This window comes from Homo sapiens, chromosome 14 (genome assembly GCF_000001405.40).
Source record: "Homo sapiens chromosome 14, GRCh38.p14 Primary Assembly".
Lineage (NCBI taxonomy): Eukaryota > Metazoa > Chordata > Mammalia > Primates > Hominidae > Homo > Homo sapiens.
The window spans coordinates 102,475,539-102,496,073 of NC_000014.9; the positions used below are offsets into that span (position 1 = coordinate 102,475,539).

Consider the following 20,535-nt stretch of genomic DNA (forward strand, 5'->3'; position numbering starts at 1 on the left):
CAAAATTAGCCTGACAGTAAATGCAGCTCTGGTCCTACCTACTGGAGCTTAAAGCAAGACTCCGAAGAATCAAACTGTTTCAGAGTAACTTACCAGCATCTTAGAACAAAGCTCAAGAATATTTACAGATTGCAAAAATATCCAACATCAGCAAGATAAAATTCACATGGGCAACCAATTAACATTTACCCAACAAGCAGAGAAGCAGGAAAATACGACCTGCAATGAAAGGGGAAGAAATCCGTCAATAGGAGCTGACCCAGAAATGATACAGATGGTAAAATTCATAGACAGGACATTAAAACAGTTGTTACACCTTTATGTGTTCAAGAAGCTAGTAGAGAGATTCAGCCTGTTAAGTAGAAAATGAGAGATAGAAAAACTCCAGGCTAGGCCAGGCATGCAACGGCTCACACCTGTAATCCCAGCACATTGGGAGGCTGAGGTGGGCAGACCACCTGAGGTCAGGAGTTGCCTGGCCAACATGGCAAAACCTCATCTCTACTAAAAATACAAAAATTAGCCAAGCGTGGTGGCACACACCTGTAATCGTAGCTACTCAGGAGGCTGAGGCAGGAGAATCACTTGAACCTGGGAGGTGGAGGTTGCAGTGAGCAAAGATTGCACCACTGCACTCCAGCCTGGGCAACAGAGCGAGACTCTGTCTCAAAAAAAAAAAAAAAAAAAAAAAAACAATATCAAAAAACTCCAGGCTGGGTGTGGTGGCTCGTGCCTGCAATCCCAGAACTTTGGGACGCTGAGCTGGGAGAATTGCTTAAGCTCGGGAGTTCAAGATGAGCCTGGGCAAGATGGCAAGACCCTGCCTCTAAAAAAAAAAAAAAACAACAAAACAAAAAACAACAACTCAAATCAAATTTGTAGGGATTAAAATTGCAATGTCTGAGCTGAAAAATATCACTGGATGAGATTAATGGCAGCATAGAAATTGCAGAAGAAAAGACTAGTGAGCTTGAAGACACAGCAGTGAAAAACCATCCACACTGAAGCCCAGAGGGAAAACAGGCTGGAAAATGTTCAGAGAATCAGTGAGCACAGACCCCTTCAAGTGGCCTCACGTAAATGAAATCCAAGTCTTAAGAGGGAAGAAGGGTGACAGGAAAAAAAGATGTGAAGAAGAAATACAACTGAAAGTTGTCCAAATTTGATGAAATAATTATGCTGAGTCAAGAAGCCAAAGAATACATACTGTTATCATTTCATTTATATAAAATTTGGCCAGGTACAGTGGCTCATGCCTGTAATCCCAACACTTTGGGAGGCTGAGGCGAGCAGATTGCCTGAGCCCAGGAGTTCAAGACCAGCCTAAGCAACATGGCAAAACCCCGTCTGTACAAAAAATACAAAAATTAGCTGGGTGCCTGTAGTCCCAGCTGCTCAAGAAGCTGAGGTGGGAGGATCCCTTGAGCCCAGGAGGCAGAGGCTGCAGTGAGCCATGATGGCTGCCACCTCACTCCAGCCTGGGTGATAGAGCATGACCCTGTCTCAAAAACAAACTTATTTATATAAAATACTAGAAAATGCTAACACAGGCCAGGTGCTGTGGCTCATGCCTGTAATCCCAGCACTTTGGGAGGCCAGGGCGGGTGGATGACCTGAGGTCAGTAGTTCAAGACCAGCCTGGCCAACGTGGTGAAACCCCGTCTCTATTAAAACTACAAAAGTCAGCTGAGTGTGGTGGTGCACACCTGTAATCCCAGCTACTTGGGAAGCTGAAGCAGGAGAATTGCTTGAACCTGAGAGGCAGAGGTTGTGGTGAACCGTGATGACGCCATTGCACTCCAGCCTGGGCAACAGAGCGAGACTCCGTCTCAAAAAAAAAAAAAAGGAAAGAAAATGCTAACACAGATCAGTGCTTACTCAAGGCCTGGCAGAAATTTCAAAGGGGAGGTGTGGCAGTGGCTTCAAGAGTGTATGCATATGTCAAAGCTTACCCAATTATGTACTTTAAATGTGTGCATTTCATTGTATGTCAGCATACCCCTGTAGAGCTGGTTTTTTTTTTTTTTTTTGAGACAGAATCTTGCTCTGTAGCCCAGACTGGGGTACAGTGGTGCGATCTCGGCTCACTGCAAGCTCCGCCTCCTGGGTTCATACCATTCTCCTGCCTCAGCCTCCCAAGTAGCTGGGACTACAGGCGCCCGCCACCATGCCCGGCAAATTTTTTTTTTTTTTTTGTATTTTATGTTGATACAGGGTTTTACCACGTTAGCCAGGACATACAAAAAATTAGCCAGGCGTGGTGGCGGGCGCCTGTAGTCCCAGCTACTCAGGAGGCCGAGGCAGGAGAATGGTGTGAACCCAGGAGGCGGAACTTGCAGTGAGCCGAGATCGCACCACTGCACTCCAGCCTGGGTGACAGAGCGAGACTCCGTCTCAAAAAAAAAAAAAAAAAAAAAAAGAGTTAGCCAGGACGGTCTAGATCTCCTGGCCTCGTGATCTGCCCACCTCCCAAAGTGCTGGGATTACAGGCGTGAGCCACCGCACCCGGCCTGTTTTTGTTTTTTAGAGACAGAGTCTCACTCCATTGCCCATGCTGGAGTGCAGTGGAGTGATTGTGGCTCACTGTAACCTCAAACTCCTGGGTCAAGCCATCCTCCCACCTCAGCCTCCCAACTAGCTAGGACACTACAGGCATGCACCACCGCACCTAGCTAATTTTTAAAAAAATTTGTAGAGGCATAGTCTTGCTATGTTGCCCAGGCTGGTCTTGGACTCCTGGCCTCAAGCAAGCCTCCCACCTTAGCCTCCCAAAGTACTGGGATTACAGATGTGAGCCACCATGTCTGGCCTCTGTAGAGTTGTTTTAAATATTAAAGTGTACAAAAAAAAAATTTAAATGGGCCGGGTGTGGTGGCTCATGCCTATAATCCCAGCACTTTGGGAGGTCGAGGCGGGTAGATTGCTTGAGCTCAGGAGTTCAAGACCAGCCTGGGTATTATTGTGAAATCCCATCTCTATGAAAAATACAAAAGTTAGCCAGGTGTGGTGGCATGTGCCTGTAGTTCCAGCTACTGGGGAGGTTGAGGCTGCAGTGAGCTGTGATCATGTCAGTGCGCTCCAGCCTGGGTGACAGAATGAGACCCTGTCTCAAAAAAAAAAAAAAGTTTTAAATGAAGATTATAGGGTACCCTACATTGTGTTTGGTTTGCAGAGGGAACAGAAATGAGTGAAGCTGCCTAAGCATGGTGGCTCACACCTGTAATCCCAGCACTATGGGAGGCCGAGGCAGGTGGATCACCTGAGCTCAGGAGTTCAGGACCAGCCTGAGAAACATGGTAAAACCCCATCTCTACCAAAAATACAAAAAATTAGCTGGGCATGGTGGCACATGCCTGTAATTTCAGCTACTCGGGAGGCTGAGATGGGAGGATTGCTTGAGCCCAGGAGGCGGAGGTTGCAGTGGGCTGAGATCATGCCACTGCACTCCAGCCTGGGCGAAAGAGTAAGGCCCTGTCTCAAAAAAAAAAAAAAAAAGGAAAAAAAAAAGGAAATGATTGAAGCTGTTTTTGGAGTTAACTGACCAAAAGTTAAATGACTAAAAGAAGAGCGAGGCAGGAGGTTATAGAAGCAATCATGAAAAAAATACAGATCCCCAGGGTCCCAAACCTGGTTTCCGAGGATGGGTAGTGTTTGAACTTGGACTTGAGACTCAATGGGCATTTTCAGTGACCAGCAGGTAAAGAGGCTTGGCCTAGTGTTTCTGAGTAGGGAAGAGTGCTCCTCCCTGCTGCCTTGGGAGGACTGTCTGCTGCTGGACCACCCTGAGGACTGTGAGACATTAGCTCTGTGGGCTTCTAGGCTCCTGGCAGTGAACCTCTGGGAGTGAAGGATGCACAAAGGATGTTGTGGGAAAGAGAAGATCTGAGATGTCCTTTGGGTCATCTTTGGAGGATCTTGACTCTGAGGCTGGAGGGTTTGTGGCTAATTCCATGGGCAGTGGGGGCTGTTGGAGGCTCTTGAGCAGGGCCGGACAGGACCCAAATGGAGAAGGTCTGCAGTGAGCTGTGGAAATTCTTTGGCCTGATTCGCTGGATTTGTGGTGCACATCTGTGAGATGTGAGATTGGGATGGAGTGGACATGGGGACTCTGACATGGATTGTTTTGGGGCAGAAGAAGCCAATCCATGCTGGCGTCCCAGCCTGGGTCTGTAATCTCATTAATCTCCTTTTGGTGACTGGACCAGTTGCCTGTACAAGTGCCTCTTGGTCTCCTTGATCCAACCTCACTGAGCCAGCGTCGCTTGTATGCATGATACTGCAAGACTTCCTTCCCAGCTGGCCTGCACGCAGGTGCCTTGGAGAGGCATTGGGCAGATGGCATGTGGCCATTTCCAGCAGTGGGGCGCAGTGCTCAGGGAGACTGCAGCATCCTGGAGCCCTGCCAGCCAGGAGGGACTGTTCCCATTGCGGGCAGAATCTGTTACTTGCAATCAGAAGAACTTCAACTAATACTTGTTTTTTGCCTGTAGATTCAATTGACCTTGGGAATGTTGCTTAAACTCGCCTTTCACTTTCATTTTCCTATCAGTAAAGTGAAGGGTCATATCCACATTAGAGCCATCAGAGGAGCTTATTAAAAATGTCCAGGCCTCGGCCCTCCCTGGAGATATGAATTCAGCAGGTCTGGGGTGAGGCCCAGGCATCTTGGTTGGTTTTTTTTTTTTTTTTTTTATTGATTTATTTGAGACGGAGTCTTGCTCTGTCGCCCAGGCTGGAGTGCAGTGGCATGATCTCGGCTCACTGCAAGCTCCACCTCCCGGGTTCACGCCATTCTCCTGCCTCAGCCTCCCGAGTAGCTGGGACTACAGGCGCCCACCACCACACCTGGCTAATGTTTTGTGTTTTTAGTAGAGATGGGTTTTCACTGTGTTAGCCAGGATGGTCTCGATCTCCTGACCTTGTGATCCGCCTGCCTTGGCCTCCCAAAGTGCTGGGATTACAGGCGTGAGCCACCATGCCCGGCCTATTTTTTATTTTTGAGACAGAGTCTCAGTCTGTCATTCAAGCTGAAGTGCAGTGGTGCGATCATAGCTCACTATAACCACAAACCCCTGGGCTCAAACAATACTCCTGCCTCAGCCTCCAAAATGGCTAGGGGTATGCACCATCACACCTGGCTCATTTTTTAATTTTTATTTTGTAGAGATGAGGTCTTGCTGTGTTGTCCAGGCTGGTGTCAAACTACTGGTCTCAAGTGATCCTCCCACCCCTCAGCCTCCCAAAGTGCTGGGATTGCGGGCGTGTGCCACTGTGCCTGGCCAGTTTTGTTTTTTGGTTTTGGGTTTTTTTTTTTTTTTTTTTTTTTGAGATGGAGTCTTGCTCTGTCGCCCACTGGAGTTCAGTGGGGTGATCTTGGCTCACTGCAACCTCCGCCTCTTGGGTTCAAGTGATTCTCCTGCCTCAGCCTCCTGAGTAGCTGGGAGTACAGGCACCCGCCACCACGCCTGGCTAATTTTTTTTTTTTTTTTTTGAGACAGGGTCTCACTCTGTCACCCAGGCGCGTAGTGCAGTGGCACAATCTCAGCTCACTACAACCTCTGCCTCCTGGGTTCAAGTGGTCCTCCCACCTCAGCCTCTTGAGTAGCTGGGGCTACAGGTGAGTGCCACTATGTATTTGTATTTTTAGTAGAGACGGGGTTTCTCCATGTTGGCCAGGCTGGTCTCAAACTCCTGATCTCAGGTGATCTGCCCGCCTCGGCCTCCCAAAGTGCTGGGATTGCATGCGTGAGCCACTGTGCCCAGCCACACCCAGCTAATTTTTGTATTTTTAGTAGAGATGGGGTTTCACTGTGTTGGCCAGGCTGGTCTGGAACTCCTGACCTCAAGTGATCCACCTGTCTTGGCCTCCCAAAGTGTTGGGATTACAGATAGGAGCCACCACACCGAGCCTGGTTTTTATTTTTCATGAAAGTCATACATGAAATGCCAAGTGTGGTGGTATGTGCCTCTAGTCCCACCTACTCAGGAGGCTGGGTGGGAGGATCACTGGAGACCAGGATCATCCACCGCACTCCAGCCTGGGCAACAGAGTGAGCCTCCATCTGTAAAAGAAAGAAAACAGAGTCACATGTGAAAATCAGTAGGTTGACATGTCAGTGGGTTCTATAAGATGTGCTATAAGAAACATGTCTCTCCTGCCAATTTTGCCCTCTCTGGAGAGTTCCTTTCAGTTCTTTTCGCTGCCTGTCTCTGAATGCTGCTTCGGGAGCTGTGTTTGGTCCCCTGACTTCAGGTGTTTCTGGTTGACTCTCTGCGGGAAGAGAAGCATGCAGAGCTCTTGCATCCCCCGTCCCCCATTCCCCCAGCCACCCACCTCCCTTCCTACTTCCACCCTGCCAGAGCTGCAGTGCTTCCTGGGCACGGGCCTTGCTGTGAGGACAGAGGAGCTCTTCACAGCGGAGGCAGGGGATGAATCACACCTGCAGTTCCTTGTCTGTGTGACTCTTTGTTTTCCCTGGACTTGATAATCATCTTGTTTGCTCATCTAGTTTTTTTTCTTTTTTTTTTTGAGACAGAGCCTTGCTCTGTTGCCCAGGCTGGCGTGCAATGGTGCGATCAATCTCTGCTCACTGCAACCTCCAACTCCTGGGTCCAAGTGATTCTTCTGCCTCAGCCTCCCGAGTAGCTGGGCTTAACAGGCGTGTGCCACCACACCCAGCTAATTTTTTGTATTTTTAATAGAGACAGGGTTTCACCACATTGGCCAGCCTGGTCTCAAACTCCTGACCTCAGGTGAGCCACCTGCCTTGGCCTCCCAAAGTGCTGGGATTACAGGCATGAGCCACTACACCCAGCCTGCTCATCTAGTTTTCTAAGTGCAGTTCCACACATTCAATCCCAAACTCTCTGCCAGTTGTCTCACACATTAGGAATGTGTCCTCTCCATTTCTTCCCCCTGCAGAGATCTCTCCTGCACCCTCTTGGCCAGCTCCAGTCTGGCCTCGTTCCTCTCTCTACCCGGGACCCAGCTGTTGTCCTAGCGTCACCTTTGACCTCCCCTCATGTTAGAGCCCCTTTCTCCCGGATCCCGGGTCTTCCTCTCTCTGTGTCTGTGTTTGTTTGGGTGGAGTTTATCTTCCAGTCGGTTCCCAAGGAAGGGTTCATGGTTGGTGACTTTTTGGAGGTATTGCATGTCTGAAAAGTCTTTCATCTGTGTTCACCCTTGACCTTGCTGGATATAGCAGTCTAGGTTGGAAACCATTTTCCTTTAGGATTTTGAGGGTCTTTCTCCATTGTCTCTCGGCTTCCAGGATTGCTACTGAGAAGCCAGAAGCCTTTCTTTTTTTTTTTTTTTTTTTTTTTGAGACGGAGTCTCGCTCTGTCGCCCAGGCTGGAGTGCAGTGGCATGATCTCGGCTCACTGCAAGCTCTGCCTCCCAGGTTCACGCCATTCTCCTGCCTCAGCCTCCCGAGTAGCTGGGACTACAGGCGCCCGCTACCACGCCTGGCTAATTTTTTTTTTTTTTGTATTTTTAGTAGAGATGGGGTTTCACCGTGTTAGCCAGGATGGTCTCGATCTCCTGACCTTATGATCTGCCCGTCTCGGCCTCTCAAAGTGCTGGAATTACAGGCGTGAGCCACCTCGCCCGGCCCAGAAGCCGTTCTAACACCTGATCCTTGATACTTGACCTGTTTTTCTTTCTGAAAGTTTGTAAGGTCTCTTTGTTCCTAGTGTTATAAGAACAGATACATAGTGGTATGCCTTGGTGAGGGCTGTGTTCATCCTTGCAGCCAGGTGGTTGCAGCCTATGTGCTGGTGGGTGTCTGGGTCCTCTGCTGGGGTCCTCTTCTGCCCCGCCTCTCTTGTTTTCCTTTTTTTGTTGTTATGTTTTTGTGTGTTGTTGTTGTTGTTGTAGGGTTTTTTGTTGTTGTGGGGTTTTGTTTTGTTTTGTTTTGTTTTTGAGACGGTCTCTCACTCTGTCACCCAGGCTGGAGCACAATGGCGCAATCACAGCTCATTGTAGCTTTAAACTTCTGGGCTCAAGCAATCCTCCCACCACAGCCTCCCAAGTAGCTGGGACCACAGGCATATGCACCATGTTCAGCTAATTTTTTTATTATTTTTTGTAGAGATGGAGTCTCACTATATTGCCCAGGCTGCTTTTGAACTCCTGGGCTCCAGCAATCCTGCCACCTTGGCCTCCCAAAGTGCTGGATTCCAGGCATGAGCAACTGCACCTGGCACCCCTCCTGTTTTCTGTCTGCTCTGGCTGAAGGCCTCCTTTTCCTTTTCTTTTTTTTTTTTTTTTTTTTTGAGTTGGTGTTTTTGCCCTTGTTGCCCAGGCTGGAGTGCAGTGGCGCAATCTGGGCTCACTACAGCCTCTGCCCCCCGGGTTCAAGCGATTCTCCTGCCTCAGCCTCCCACGTAGCTGGGATTATAGGCACCTGCCACCATGCCTGGCTGATTCTTATATTTTCAGTAGAGACAAGGTTTCACCATGTTTGCCAGGCTGGTTTCGAACTCCTGACCTCAGGTGATCCACCTGCCTTGGCCTCCCAAAGTGCTGGGATTACAGGCATTAGCTACTGTGCCCAGCCTGGAGGCTTCCTTTTGTATTGTGGACTTTCTAAGCTGGCCTCCACTTTTCCTTTCTCTCCTGTTTCTGTCTTTTTATGCTTTTATCCTGCTTTCTAGAAGACATTCTCAACCTTATTTCTCCAACCCTCTGTCAGATTATTTCCATGATCACATGTTTAATTTCTGAAAGTTCCTGTTGTTGTTTGATGGCTGTAGAGTCAGTCTTCTCTCATCTCCCTAAGGATGTTTTGGAAGTTTCTTCTCCCTGCCTGGTCTTTGTATGTCCCAAGTTGTGTGTTTTCTGTCTAGTTCGCCTTTTACATGGCAGAGGCTTTCTTCAGATGTTGGCAGTCCCCTGGTTGGAAGAGTGAGGCCCAGCAAGGCTGACTGGAAGCCCTGAGCACATGCATGGAGCCTGTGGGCCCCGCGGGTCTCTGACAGCAATCTGGCTGGGCTGCTGGGTGGGGAGTCGTTGCTTTTAGCCTTCCAGGGCCCGCTGAGTCCTTGCCATGCATCCCCCACTTTCCAGCTTCCAGAATTGTATGGCTGCTTCCTCCCCTCATTCTCTCTGTCCTTAGGAGATTTGAACCTTTTTTCTTTGAGATGGAGTCTTGCTTTGTCACCCAGGCTGGAGTGCAGTGGCCCGATCTCAGCTCACTGCAGCCTCCCCCTCCTGTGTTCAAGCAATTCTCTGCCTCAGCCTCCCGAGTAGCTGGGATTACAGGCGCATGCCACCATGCCTGGCTAATTTTTGTATTTTTGGTAGAGACAGGGTTTCGCCATGTTAGTCAGGCTGGTCTCGAACTCCTGGCCTCAGGTGATCCGGTCTGCCTCGGCTTCCCAAAGTGCTGGGATTACAGGCGCGAGCCACTGCGCCCGCCCCGTTTTTCTTTGTTTAACCCATTCCCTCTCATGGTAGTGGTGCTTGAGAAGGGAGTGAAAGAGTAATTGTGTGCTCATTATCATCACTGCCCAGAAGCTTCTGGCTTCTTCAGCGCCCTGCAGGTGACTCTTGCACATACCCAGCGCTGAGCACCATGGTGCAGCTCATCCCCTTCACCTCCACGGTTCTGGTATCACAGTCTTCAGAGTATAGCCACTATTTTCCTCTAAGCCTCTGAACATCTTTGAGTGGTATTTAGGTGCTGGTGGGGCTGCCTGTTACACTGTAAGTTGTTCCGTCAGCACAACTATGCTGCCTGCAAATGAAGGTATGAAACCTCCCCAAACTGCTGTCTAATGGTGTGGGATGGAACCAGCTCCCTTTGAGAGAAACTAAATTGTTTTTTGCCACTTCCTTTAATTTTTTCCATGTTGCCTTTTTTTCCTATACCTCCATTTAAACATCTATTGTTTTTGAGCTCTCTTCTTCAAAACTTGCTTCTAGGAACTATTACCCCTCTTCACCATATTGAACTCTAAGTCTTTTCTCTCATTCTGGAAGGCCATGATACCTAGAAGTAGACCACAGGGTTCTAACGGGGTGCCCTGGGTCCTGCAGCAGTCCCCTCATCGTGCTTTAACAACTTATGACCCAGTAGTTTAAACAACGACCTAGGGAAGCTTGTCCCAGCCTGCCCTGCGTGTGCCCCCAGTAAAACCATGAGCGGCAGGAAGGGGAGCCCCTCGCGATGCTTGCCATGACCCTAGAGGAGCAGAGCCCAGAGATCATCTTTAGGGACCTCTCCCTCTGGGCTGCACTCATCCAGAAGGTGCTTCCCCGAGCCTGTCTGTAGAGTCAGCCACAGAGCAGGGCGATGAGCTATCAGAGACCAGGGTGTGTGCCACTGGGTCCAGCTTCTGCTCTTCTTGTCTCACAGCAATATTTGAGTCCTGGTGCTAGCCATGGCGCAGTCGTTGGGCTGGTATCAGTGACAAGGTCTGGAGGGTAGACAGGAAGAGTGGCCAGTTGGCTCCACCAGCCCCTGCTCAGGAAGGACAGAATGTGACAGGCACCCAGGAAACCTGCTTCTGAGCGTTTTCTTTAGCGCACCCCCTACAATTAGCAGATGCAGCTTCTTGCTGGATTCTGAGGTCACACCTCAGACCAGATGTAGAGGCCCAGCAGTAACTGGAGTCAGTGCAGAAGGACCCACCACGGAGAGGGAGAGGCCTCTGACAGGCCAGAAGAGAGCAGCAGTGGAGCCTGTTTCTGTCTGGAGCCCTGCTCTGCTGGGCCAGAAGTTTCCAAATGTTTTTTAGCAGTGGGACCCATTCTTCAAATTAAAAAAAAATTTTTTTGAGTTAGGCTCTTGTTCCGTCACCCACGCTGGAGTGCAGTGACACAATCTCAGTTCACTGTAACCTCAACCTCCTGGGCTCAAGTGATCCTCTTACCTCATCCTCCTGAGTACCTGGGACTACAGGTGTGTGTACAAAATACAAAAAACACTCCCAGCTGTCCAGCCTTAAATAAAATCTTGTACATAAGCCAGATGTGTTCAACAAGTAACAGCAAAACTGGTCCCATGAAACTGCCCCTTCCACAGGGGCCCTGAGGCACCTCTGCAAGGCCAGGGCCCCACAGGCGCTGCTGGAAAACTGCTGGTCTTCGGGCCAGTGAGGACAGAGAGAGAGCTCAGCACAGCAGGCCCCGGGCAGCCATACCCACCTCGTACCACGGTCAGAGTCTCGAGGAGCCTCAGAGATCATGGTCCCCGGCTCCTCCAGCTAAGGACACAGACCACGAAGAGGAGGTCCTCCTAGTGTGTCAGCCCTGGCTCTGAGAATTTACCTTTAATTTAATTCTAGACCTATTAACATGGGTATCGGGTTTTTAAGCCCATCTGAAATTGGGAAGAATAGACCAGAAGCAGGAAGAGGGTCTGCTACAGGGAAAAAAGAACTAGAAAGACCAAACAGAAGTCAGAAAGTACAGCTACCACGGGGCCATGTGACAAATGGCCCAACCAACCCACACGCCTCAGCGCCCCCTGAGGCTGCACGGATAGACGGACAGACACACAGCAGCACCATGAATCCTTGAGGGAAAGTAAAGCTCAGCATGTGTCAGTCTTTACGGGGATTCAAGGTTAAAACAGGGAGGGAGAGAGACTTGGAGGGAAAAGAAAAGGCAGTGTGGAAAGCACAAATGGCCGCCTGGATAACCGTGGTTTGTTTGGGTTAGGATTATTTCCAGAGGCGTCTTTCCTGGGGCATTTGTGCTGCCGCTTCAAAAACCCTCGGTCCACCCTGGTATTCCTGAAACATTCCTGCTGAATTTCTTCCAAGTTCTGATAAGTCCATGCCAAAATGGTCTGTCTAGATACATGTTTCCTTTGGCTGTGAAATCTTCAGCATGTTTTTGTTTTTCAGCCTGGGTTTACCACATTCTGACTGAGGAACATGTGTGAGTGTGTGTGTGCGTGCGCACACGTGTGTTGATAAAAGCTATGATAAAAGCTCAGCTACAAGAAGTTTGAAGAACTGTGGTCTGAGCCCCAGACACTTGTGTTTTCTTTTTCTTTTCTTTTCTTTTTTTTTGAGATGGAGTCTCGCTCTCTCCCCCAAGCTGGAGTGCAGTGGCGCAATCTGGGCTCACTGCAAGCTCCGCCTCCCAGGTTCACACCATTCTCCTGCCTCAGACTCCCGAGTAGCTGGGACTACAGGCGCCCGCCACCACGCCTGGCTAATTTTTTGTATTTTTAGTAGAGACGGGGTTTCACTGTGTTAGCCAGGATGGTCTCAATCTCCTGACCTCGTGATCCGCCCACCTCGGCCTCCCAAACTGCTGGGATTACAGGCGTGAGCCACCACGCCCGGCCTGTTTGTTTTTTTTTTTTGATACGGAGTTTCACTCTTGTTGCCGAGGCTGGAGTGCAATGGCGCGATCTCGGCTCACCACAACCTCTGCCTCCCGGGTTCAAGCGATTCTCCTGCCTCAGCCTCCTGAGTAGCTGGGATTACAGGCATGAGCCACCACACCTGGCTAATTTTGTATATTTTTTAGTAGAGATGGGGTTTCTCCATATTGGTCAGGCTTGTCTTGAACTCCGGACCTCAGGTGATACGCCTGCCTCAGCCTCCCAAAGGGCTGGGATTACAGGCGTGAGCCACCACGCCCAGCCTCTTTTGCATTTTTATGAAGTTTTTAATATGAATAAGCCAAAATTTTAGATCACCTACTACTTTTTTTTTGTTTTTTTAGTAGAGATTAGGTCTCGAGCTACTGGGCTCAGGCAATTCTCCTGCCTCAGTGTCTCATAGAGCTGGGATTATAGGTGTAAGCCACTGTGCTCGGCCTTTTTTTTTTTTTTAATTGAATTTTTTTTTATTTTTTTGATACGTAGTTTCACTCTTTTTGCCCAGGCTGGAGTGCAATGGCGCAATCTTGACTCACCGCAACCTCTGCCTCCTGGGTTCAAGCAATTCTTCTGCCTCAGCCTCCTGAGTAGGTGGGATTACAGGCGCCCCCCACCACGTCCGGCTAATTTTGTACTTTTTTTTTAGTAGAGACGAGGTCTCTCCATATTGGTCAGGCTGGTCTCAAACTCCCGACCTCAGGTGGTCCGCCTGCCTCAGCCTCCCGAAGTGCTGGGATTACAGGCATGAGCCACTGCACCCGGCCTAATTGAAATTTTTATTGAGATAATGGTCACTGCACTTGTATTTATAAGAAATCCTGAGTACCCTTTACCCAGTTCACAGCAATGGTAACTGCAAAACTATAGTACACTGTCACAACCAAGGCTTGTCTACTTTTTTTTTTTTCTAAATTGTGATAAAATACACATGAGATTTACCGTTAGTGACAGTACATTTGCAATGTTGTGCAACCATTGTCACTATATAGTTCCAGAACATTCTTTTTTTTTTCTTTTTTGAGATGGAGTTTTGCTCTTGTTGTCCAGGCTGGAATGCAGTGGCACAATCTGGGCTCACTGCAACCTCTGCCTCCCCAGGTTCAAGTGATTCTCCTGCCTCAGCCTCCCGAGACACTAGGACTACAGGCATGCGCCACCATGCCTGGCTAATTTTGTATTTTTAGTACAGATGGAGTTTCACCATGTTGGCCAGGCTGGTCTCAAACTCCTAACCTCAAGTGATCTGCCCACCTCGGCCTCCCAAAGTGCTGGGATTACAGGCATGAGCCACTGTGCCCAACCTAGTTCCAGAACATTCTTATCCCTCAAGAAAGCCCCTAGCAATGTGAAGCCACTCCCCATTCCTCCTCCCTCCTCTCTCCCAGCCTGTAGCAGCTGCTCACCTGATTTCTACCTGGGATTTTCCTCTTCTGGATGTTTCATAGAAATGGAATCCTGGCTGGGCGCGGTGGCTCACACCTGTAATCCCAGTACTTTGGGAGGCTGAGGTGGGTGGGTCACAAGGTCAGGAGTTCAAAACCAGCCTGGCCAAAATGGTGAAACCCTGTCTCTATCCCAGTACTTTGGGAGGCTAAGGTGGGTGGATCACAAGGTCAGGAGTTCAAGACCAGCCTGGCCAAGATGGTGAAACCTTGTCTCTACTAAAAATACAAAAATTAGCTGGGCATGGTGGCAGGCCCCTGTAGTCCCAGCTACTCGGGAGGCTGAGGCAGGAGAATCACTTGAACATGAGAGGCAGAGGTTGCAGTGAGCCAACATCACACCATTGCACTCCAGCCCGGGCGACAAGAGCAAAACTGTGTCAAAAAAAAAAAAAAAAGGAATCCTACAGTGTGTGGCCCTGAGTGATACGTGCTCTCTCTGACAGCCCCTGAGTGTGTCTGGGTTTTGTCTGTTTAAATGAGGGTTTATTCAGCCCCAGACTTCTGGTACAAACCAGGGGACAGCTAGCCGCTCTTGCACTCAGCACAGCTAACAAACCAGCAGTGCCAGGCTCAGCCGGGAGTTCTTTTGCCTCCAAAGAAAGGCTTGAGAAGAATCTACACTAACTTTAGTGGAGGCACTTACATCAGTGCCTCCACTAAAAATAAAGCAAAAACAAGCAAATCCAGGTGACAGTTACAAAAAAAAAATACAGTGAGTTTATAAAATAAATACAGCAAAGGTGTGTTGAGACCGCCAGTGAATCAGGTCACTGTGATGAAAGCCGCACAGCAGGTCTGTGTGTTAACCCCACGCGGCACCTTCCTTGGTCACTGTGAGCAAACAGTGGAATTCCCTGCTCCCAAGATCCTGTGCTGCTTCCCACTGGCACCACTCTCAGACCGTAAGAAATCGGTTTGCTCCAGAGGAAGATGATGAAGTCATTTGCTTTGAGGTCCAGTGATTATCATTGTTTCTGACCTAATAGAAAATCATCCCTCACTGATGCCCAGCCCTGCTGGTCTCGAAGCCCCTCACAGGCATCATGTCATGACACCCAGGGTGTGCCCAGAGCCCCAGCAGGCAGGACTGCCAGGCAGGGCTAGGACCAGGCCTCTCTGTTACTAACCTAGAGAGCAGTCAGCAAAGCAACCCCCGAGTTTGCCAACTTTTCAAGCGTTGGTTTTTTGTCTGTTGAAACCTCGGTGTATTTTAGCAGAGGCGCCTTCCCGAGTCACCCGACATCTGTGGCTCGGGGTCATGATTGCCGCGACCACCCGGGGTGCTGAGCTCCGCCCCGGCCTGGCGTCTGCTCTGAAAAGGTCCAGACTCAGGCAGAGCAGACACCCCAGGGCCACTTTGCCAGTCCTTCAGCAGGCGCCATGGGCTCCTCCTCCAAACCTGTTCCATCGGCCTCTTAGGGCCTGCCTGTACCACCAGCCCCTGGCTTATTGCACCAGCGTCCGGAACGGGGTTCTTGTTCTACCTGCCCTTCCCTGCAGCTTGTCCTCACTGCAGCCAGAAGGGTCCTCAGACGACATGTGCTAGTTCATATCTCTCCTCTTTTTTTGTTTTTTTGGGTTTTTTTTGAGACAGAGTCTCACTCTTATTGCCCAGGCTGGAGTGCAATGTCACGATCTCAGCTCTCTGCAACCTCTGCCTCCCGGGTTCAAGTGATTCTCCTGTCTCAGCCTCCCAAGTTGGTGGAATTACAGGCGCATGCCACCATGCCCGATTAATTTTGTACTTCTAGTAGAGATGGGGTTTCATCATATTGGTCAGGCTGGTCTCAAACTCCTGACCTCAGATGATCCACCCGCCTGGGCCTCCCAAAGTGCTGGGATTACAGGTGTGAGCCACCGCGCTCAGCCCACATCTCTCCTCTTTTTTTACTTTTATTTTGTTTATTATTACAGAGGGTCTTGCTCTGTTGCCCAAGCTAGAGTGCAATGGCACGAATATGGCTTACTGCAGCCTCAAACTCCTGGGCTCAAGTTATCCTCCTGCCTGAGATTCCTAAGTAGCTGGGACTATAGGCACATGCCACCATGCCCAGATAATTTTTTAAATTTTGGTAGAGACAAGGTCTTGCTGTTGCCCAGGCTCGTCTCAAACTCCTTGGCTCAAGCAGTCCTCCCTCCTTAGTCTTCCAAAGTGCTGGCATTACAGGTATGAGACACCGTGCCCAGCCCTTTCCTCTTTTCACACCCTTCTGGCAGCTTCCCACGTCACTCAGAATGAAATCATACTTCTTCCCTCAGCCTGAAGCCTGCCATCAGCCCTAGCAGCCACTCTGGCCTCACCACTGGGCTGCAGCCTCCCAGCCTCCTTGCTGCAACCCTGAGCTACCCTCAGTTCTACACTTGCTGGGGCTGCTGGGTACCTTCCCTAGGTGTTGGCAGGATCACTGCCCCTCCACTCCAGGCAGAGTCAGGGTGTCCCTCTGGCCCTTCTCTCTGTTACGCAGTATGGCATTGGTTTGTCCGGGTTGTGCCCCACCCTCCCCAGTAGGATGGCAGTTCTGGGTGGGCAGAAACAAGTGTTTTGTTTGCAGTTGAGGTTTCCCCAAAACCCAGCATGTGTGGGTGCTCATTTGTCGAACAAATGATCACATGCCTCCAATTAGAGGTGTCCAGGAGACAGCTGGTGTGAGGCCTTGGGCCACATGAGCCCTGCCAGTGGTAGGGGTGGTATGGTGTACCATGGAACCCAGTCTGGGAAATACTGGGTAAAGGCATGAGGCAAGATGATAAACCTGGAAAGATGTGTCCAGAATGACTTGCTCTTCCTCTTTTAAAGAGCATTTACTGGTGTCCCCATGTGCTTTTCGTCAGACTGTGCTCTCCCACCCTCTGAGACCTGGCCTCCATCCCTACCCCTTCCTGAAGCCCTCCTGGGCTGTCTGCAGGCTGGCCTCTCACCTAGAGTGAGGGCCCTGCCAGGGAGTGCCAGTCCTCCTTTCGGAGAGAAGCCACTATGCCATGAGCTTCCGTCGTGTAAAGTCAGACCCAGACAGCCCAGGCCCTGGTGTCAGGAGTGTGGCAGCAGCCAGGGCCGGGGCTCTCCTTCTCCTTCTTGGGCCAGCCACTGGTCACACAGGTGCACTCAAATTGGGAAGCTCTGTCATGCTGTGCACTTAGGATTTGTGTAGTTTTCAAATGTATATTTTCCTCCAGTAATACAAAATAGAGTTTCTTTTTATTGGATAAAAGCGGGTGAGGGGCTGGGGACGCAGAATGTTTCTGAGGGAAGCAGGTGGTCAGGGTCCATCCTCCACGCACCTCCTCAGCATCGGGCTGGGCTGGAGCTGGGCAGACGTGGCCTCCTCCTGCAGGGAGCTCCCAGGCAGCACAGGGGCCCTTCCCAGAGGCCTGGCAGGCAGCGTGAGTGGGGTTGTGAAGGGTGGGCAGCAGCGTGCCAGGTGAGCAACGCGTGAGGGGGCGTGTGTGTCCGGAAGGGACGACTGGCAAGGCCAGGGTGAGGCTGGGCCCCGCTTGCTCTTCCCACCATGTTCTGTTCTAGCGGCTTCTAGTAAAGGCTGTTAATGGGCGGAGGCTCACATTAGGAGGCAGAGCCCGGAAGCGAGAGAGCCAAGGGAGACAGGGAAGTTTTATGTTCCAGAGACGTTGCGAGGTGATGGAGAGAAGAGGAAAGGGATGCGGGGTAGCCATCCTCTGCCCGCTCACGAGCACTTCTCCGCCTGCCACCGTGCTGCTTCCAGCGCCCATCTTTCTCTATCTGGAGACCCCTCAGAGACTCCACTTTGGTCCTTGCTGTTCTTGCCCTTCTGCTGAAGCACAGTCATCTCCTCCTCTCTCCATCATTCCCGTTGTCCTTGACTTACTATTCAAAAGCTAGCTGCTTCAAACCACAGCGCGTCTCAGCTCTGGGCCAGGACTACGGGCAGTGTGTGGGGGAGTCCTGGCTCTGCTCCACCACGTCGGGGCCCTGGCCAGTGGGCTGAATGGCGAGGCCTGGGCCGCTTTTCTGTCTTCTCCACGCGGCCTTCCGAGTGGGGAAGGCGGGAGCCTGGCGGGAGCCTCTCCTCCACATAGCCTGGTGGCCTCAGCCTCGGCCTCAGCTGGCAGGCCTCTCCCCTCCCTTCCCTGGAGCCCCTGCATCCCCTGGAATGGGGGCTTAGCCTAGAACAGCGCTTCCCCAAATCTGCACCTCTGAACCCCAGGTCCATGGAATGGAAATGGATGTGATGTATGGAAAGGGGGTTCCATAGCCAAACAAGTTAAGCTAAGTTCAGAGGGAAGGTGGTGAATAGAAATCCCAAACATCTGATCCCAGCACAGCTAGCGGTGGGGACTTGCCTTGAGTGCGCTCCAGGTGGTCCCTGGGGACTCGGTCCTGGCACCCCTGCCCTCCTGGATTGCATCCCACAGCCCTGCTGGCCGCCCCGCCCCAGCCTCCCTGCTGTGACAGGGGCAGGGGCTGCGGTGACCCTGCAGCACAGGCGCGGCTCCCTCGGATCCCTTGGATCTCACCGGTGCATCTGAGGTTCTGCGTGGAAAGTGGCTCGGGCTTCCAATGCCGCTCTGCTTTAAGCTGGGACCGCTGTCCAGGGTGGTGCCCAGCCTTCTGGCATCTGCCATCCAACCCTTCCCTCTCTCCCCTCAGTGGCCCTGTGTCCTCCGGGCATCAACCCTAATGCCACCTCCTCACCTGACCACCCACTGCCAGTTGCTCATTTTATTTCCTGGTGGTGCCTCCCATATCTGAACCTAGCCTGGTGCTTACGTCCAATTGCCTGCTCTGGTGCTACCTGAGAGCCCCATCCAGCCCACTCACGAAGGCTTCCAGAGCCTGTGCCTGTAACTTGGGCAAATGTGTGGAGTGAGCGACCAAAGGGCTGAGGGAGCAGCGAAGGGAGCCCCTCGCTAGGACTCTAGGACTCTGTTCTCTCTGTGTCTCTTAAAATAGCTCACTCGTGGCTGGGCGCAGTGGCTCACACCTGTAATCCCAGCACCTTGGGAAGCCGAGGCAGGCAGATCGCTGGAGGTCAGGAGTTCTAGATCAGCCTGGCCAACATGGTGAAACCCCGTCTCTACTAAAAATACAAAAATTAGCTGGGCTTGGAGGTGGGCACCCATAATCCCAGCTACTTGGGAGGCTGAGGCAGGAGAATCCCTTGAAACCGGAAGGCAGAGGTTGCAGTGAGCCAAGATCACGCCACTGCACTCCAGACACAGTGAGACTCAAAAAAAAACTAGCTCGGACGGGTGCGGTGGCTCACGCCTGTAATCCCAGCACTTTTGGGAGGCCGAGGTGGGCGGATCACCTGAGGTCAGGAGTTCGAGAGCAGCCTCAACATGGAGAAACCCCGTCTCTACTAAAAATACAAAATTAGCCTGGCATGGTGGTGCATGCCTGTAATCTCAGCTACTCGGGAGGCTGAGGCAGGAGAATTGCTTGAACCTGGGAGGCGGAGGTTGCGGTGAGCCAAGATCACACCATTGCACTCCAGCCTGGGTAACAAGAGCGAAACTCCGTCTCAAAAAAAAAAAAAAAAAACTAAACTAGCTCATTCACCTCACTGGCAGGCTGAGACCTGCAGTCACTCCAGCGGCACCCTGAGTGAGCTCACACAAGAGAGAACTTTGGCCAGGCACGGTGGCTCACGCCTGTAATCTCAGCACTTTGGGAGGCCAAGGGGAATGGCTCACTTGAACCCACGAGTTCAAGACCAGCCTGGGCAACATGGTGAAACCCAGTGTCTACAACAAAATACAAAAATTAGCCTGGTGTGGTGGTGTGCACCTGTAGTCCCAGATTCTTGGGAAGCTGAGGTGGGAGGATCACTTGAGCCAGGGAGATGGAGGTTGCAGTGAGCCGGGATTGCGCCAGGGCACTCCAGCCTGGGTGACAGCGAGACCCTGTCTTAAAAAAAATTTTTTTAAAGAGAACTTTCTGACAGCCAGAATCAGGTGGGGGCAGGAGGGAGGGGGTGGCCCTGTGCCTGTCAGTGTTTTGGCTGCGGAGCTGCGACCAAGTCTGGATGTGTTTGGGATTTCTATTCACCACCTTCCCTCTGAGCTTAGCTTAACTTGTTTGGCTATGGAACCCCCTTTCTATACATCACACCTATTTCTATTCCATGGACCTGGGATTCAGAGGCGCAGATTTGGGGAAGCGCTGTTCTAGGCTAAGCCCCCATTCCAGGGGGATGCAGGGACTCCAGGGAAGGGAGGGGAGAGGCCTGTGATCACTCTGCAAAGCAGGGCTGGGTGGGGAGGCCGGGCGGCTGGGGAAGAAACCTGCCATGTCTGGGAAGACCGGTTGGTCCTTAGAGGACCTAGCAGCAGCAAAGGCAAACACTGGCTCAGGCAGTGGTGACTGGTGGTGATGTGCCGACAAGAGCGGCCACCGCCCCGTCCTCCTTGCTGCTCTGTCTCTCCATCCTCCATGTCCTGATCCACTGGGACTGGCCCTGGGGCTGAGGTGTGAGACTTGGTGCCCACGGGAGGCATTTCATACATGCGTTCATCAGCCCACAGTTAGGGGCCCCTGCCCAGAGCAGCCGGCGGGTGAGGATGCGGGCAGCCTGGAGAGGGCACCTCGATCCGGGAGGTGCAGGTGGAGGGAGGTCCCACTGCCTGAGGGCCCTGAGAGTGTCTGGCCCCGGCAAGTGTGTGACACGGGCACTATGACAGGAGCACTGTGCGGCCAGAGTGTGGCACAGGGCATCCAGTGTGATTGTATTCACGGCAGCCCTGAGCACAAAGCAAGGAGCAGGAGATGTGTG

General features: G+C 51.3%; 1 protein-coding gene across 1 annotated transcript in view; it reads left to right on the top strand.

Annotated features, from left to right (window-relative positions):
- TECPR2 (tectonin beta-propeller repeat containing 2) overlaps nucleotides 1-20,535 on the top strand; it is a 139,537-nt gene that overhangs the window by 112,598 nt on the left and 6,404 nt on the right. The gene's annotated exons all lie outside the window — the stretch shown is intronic.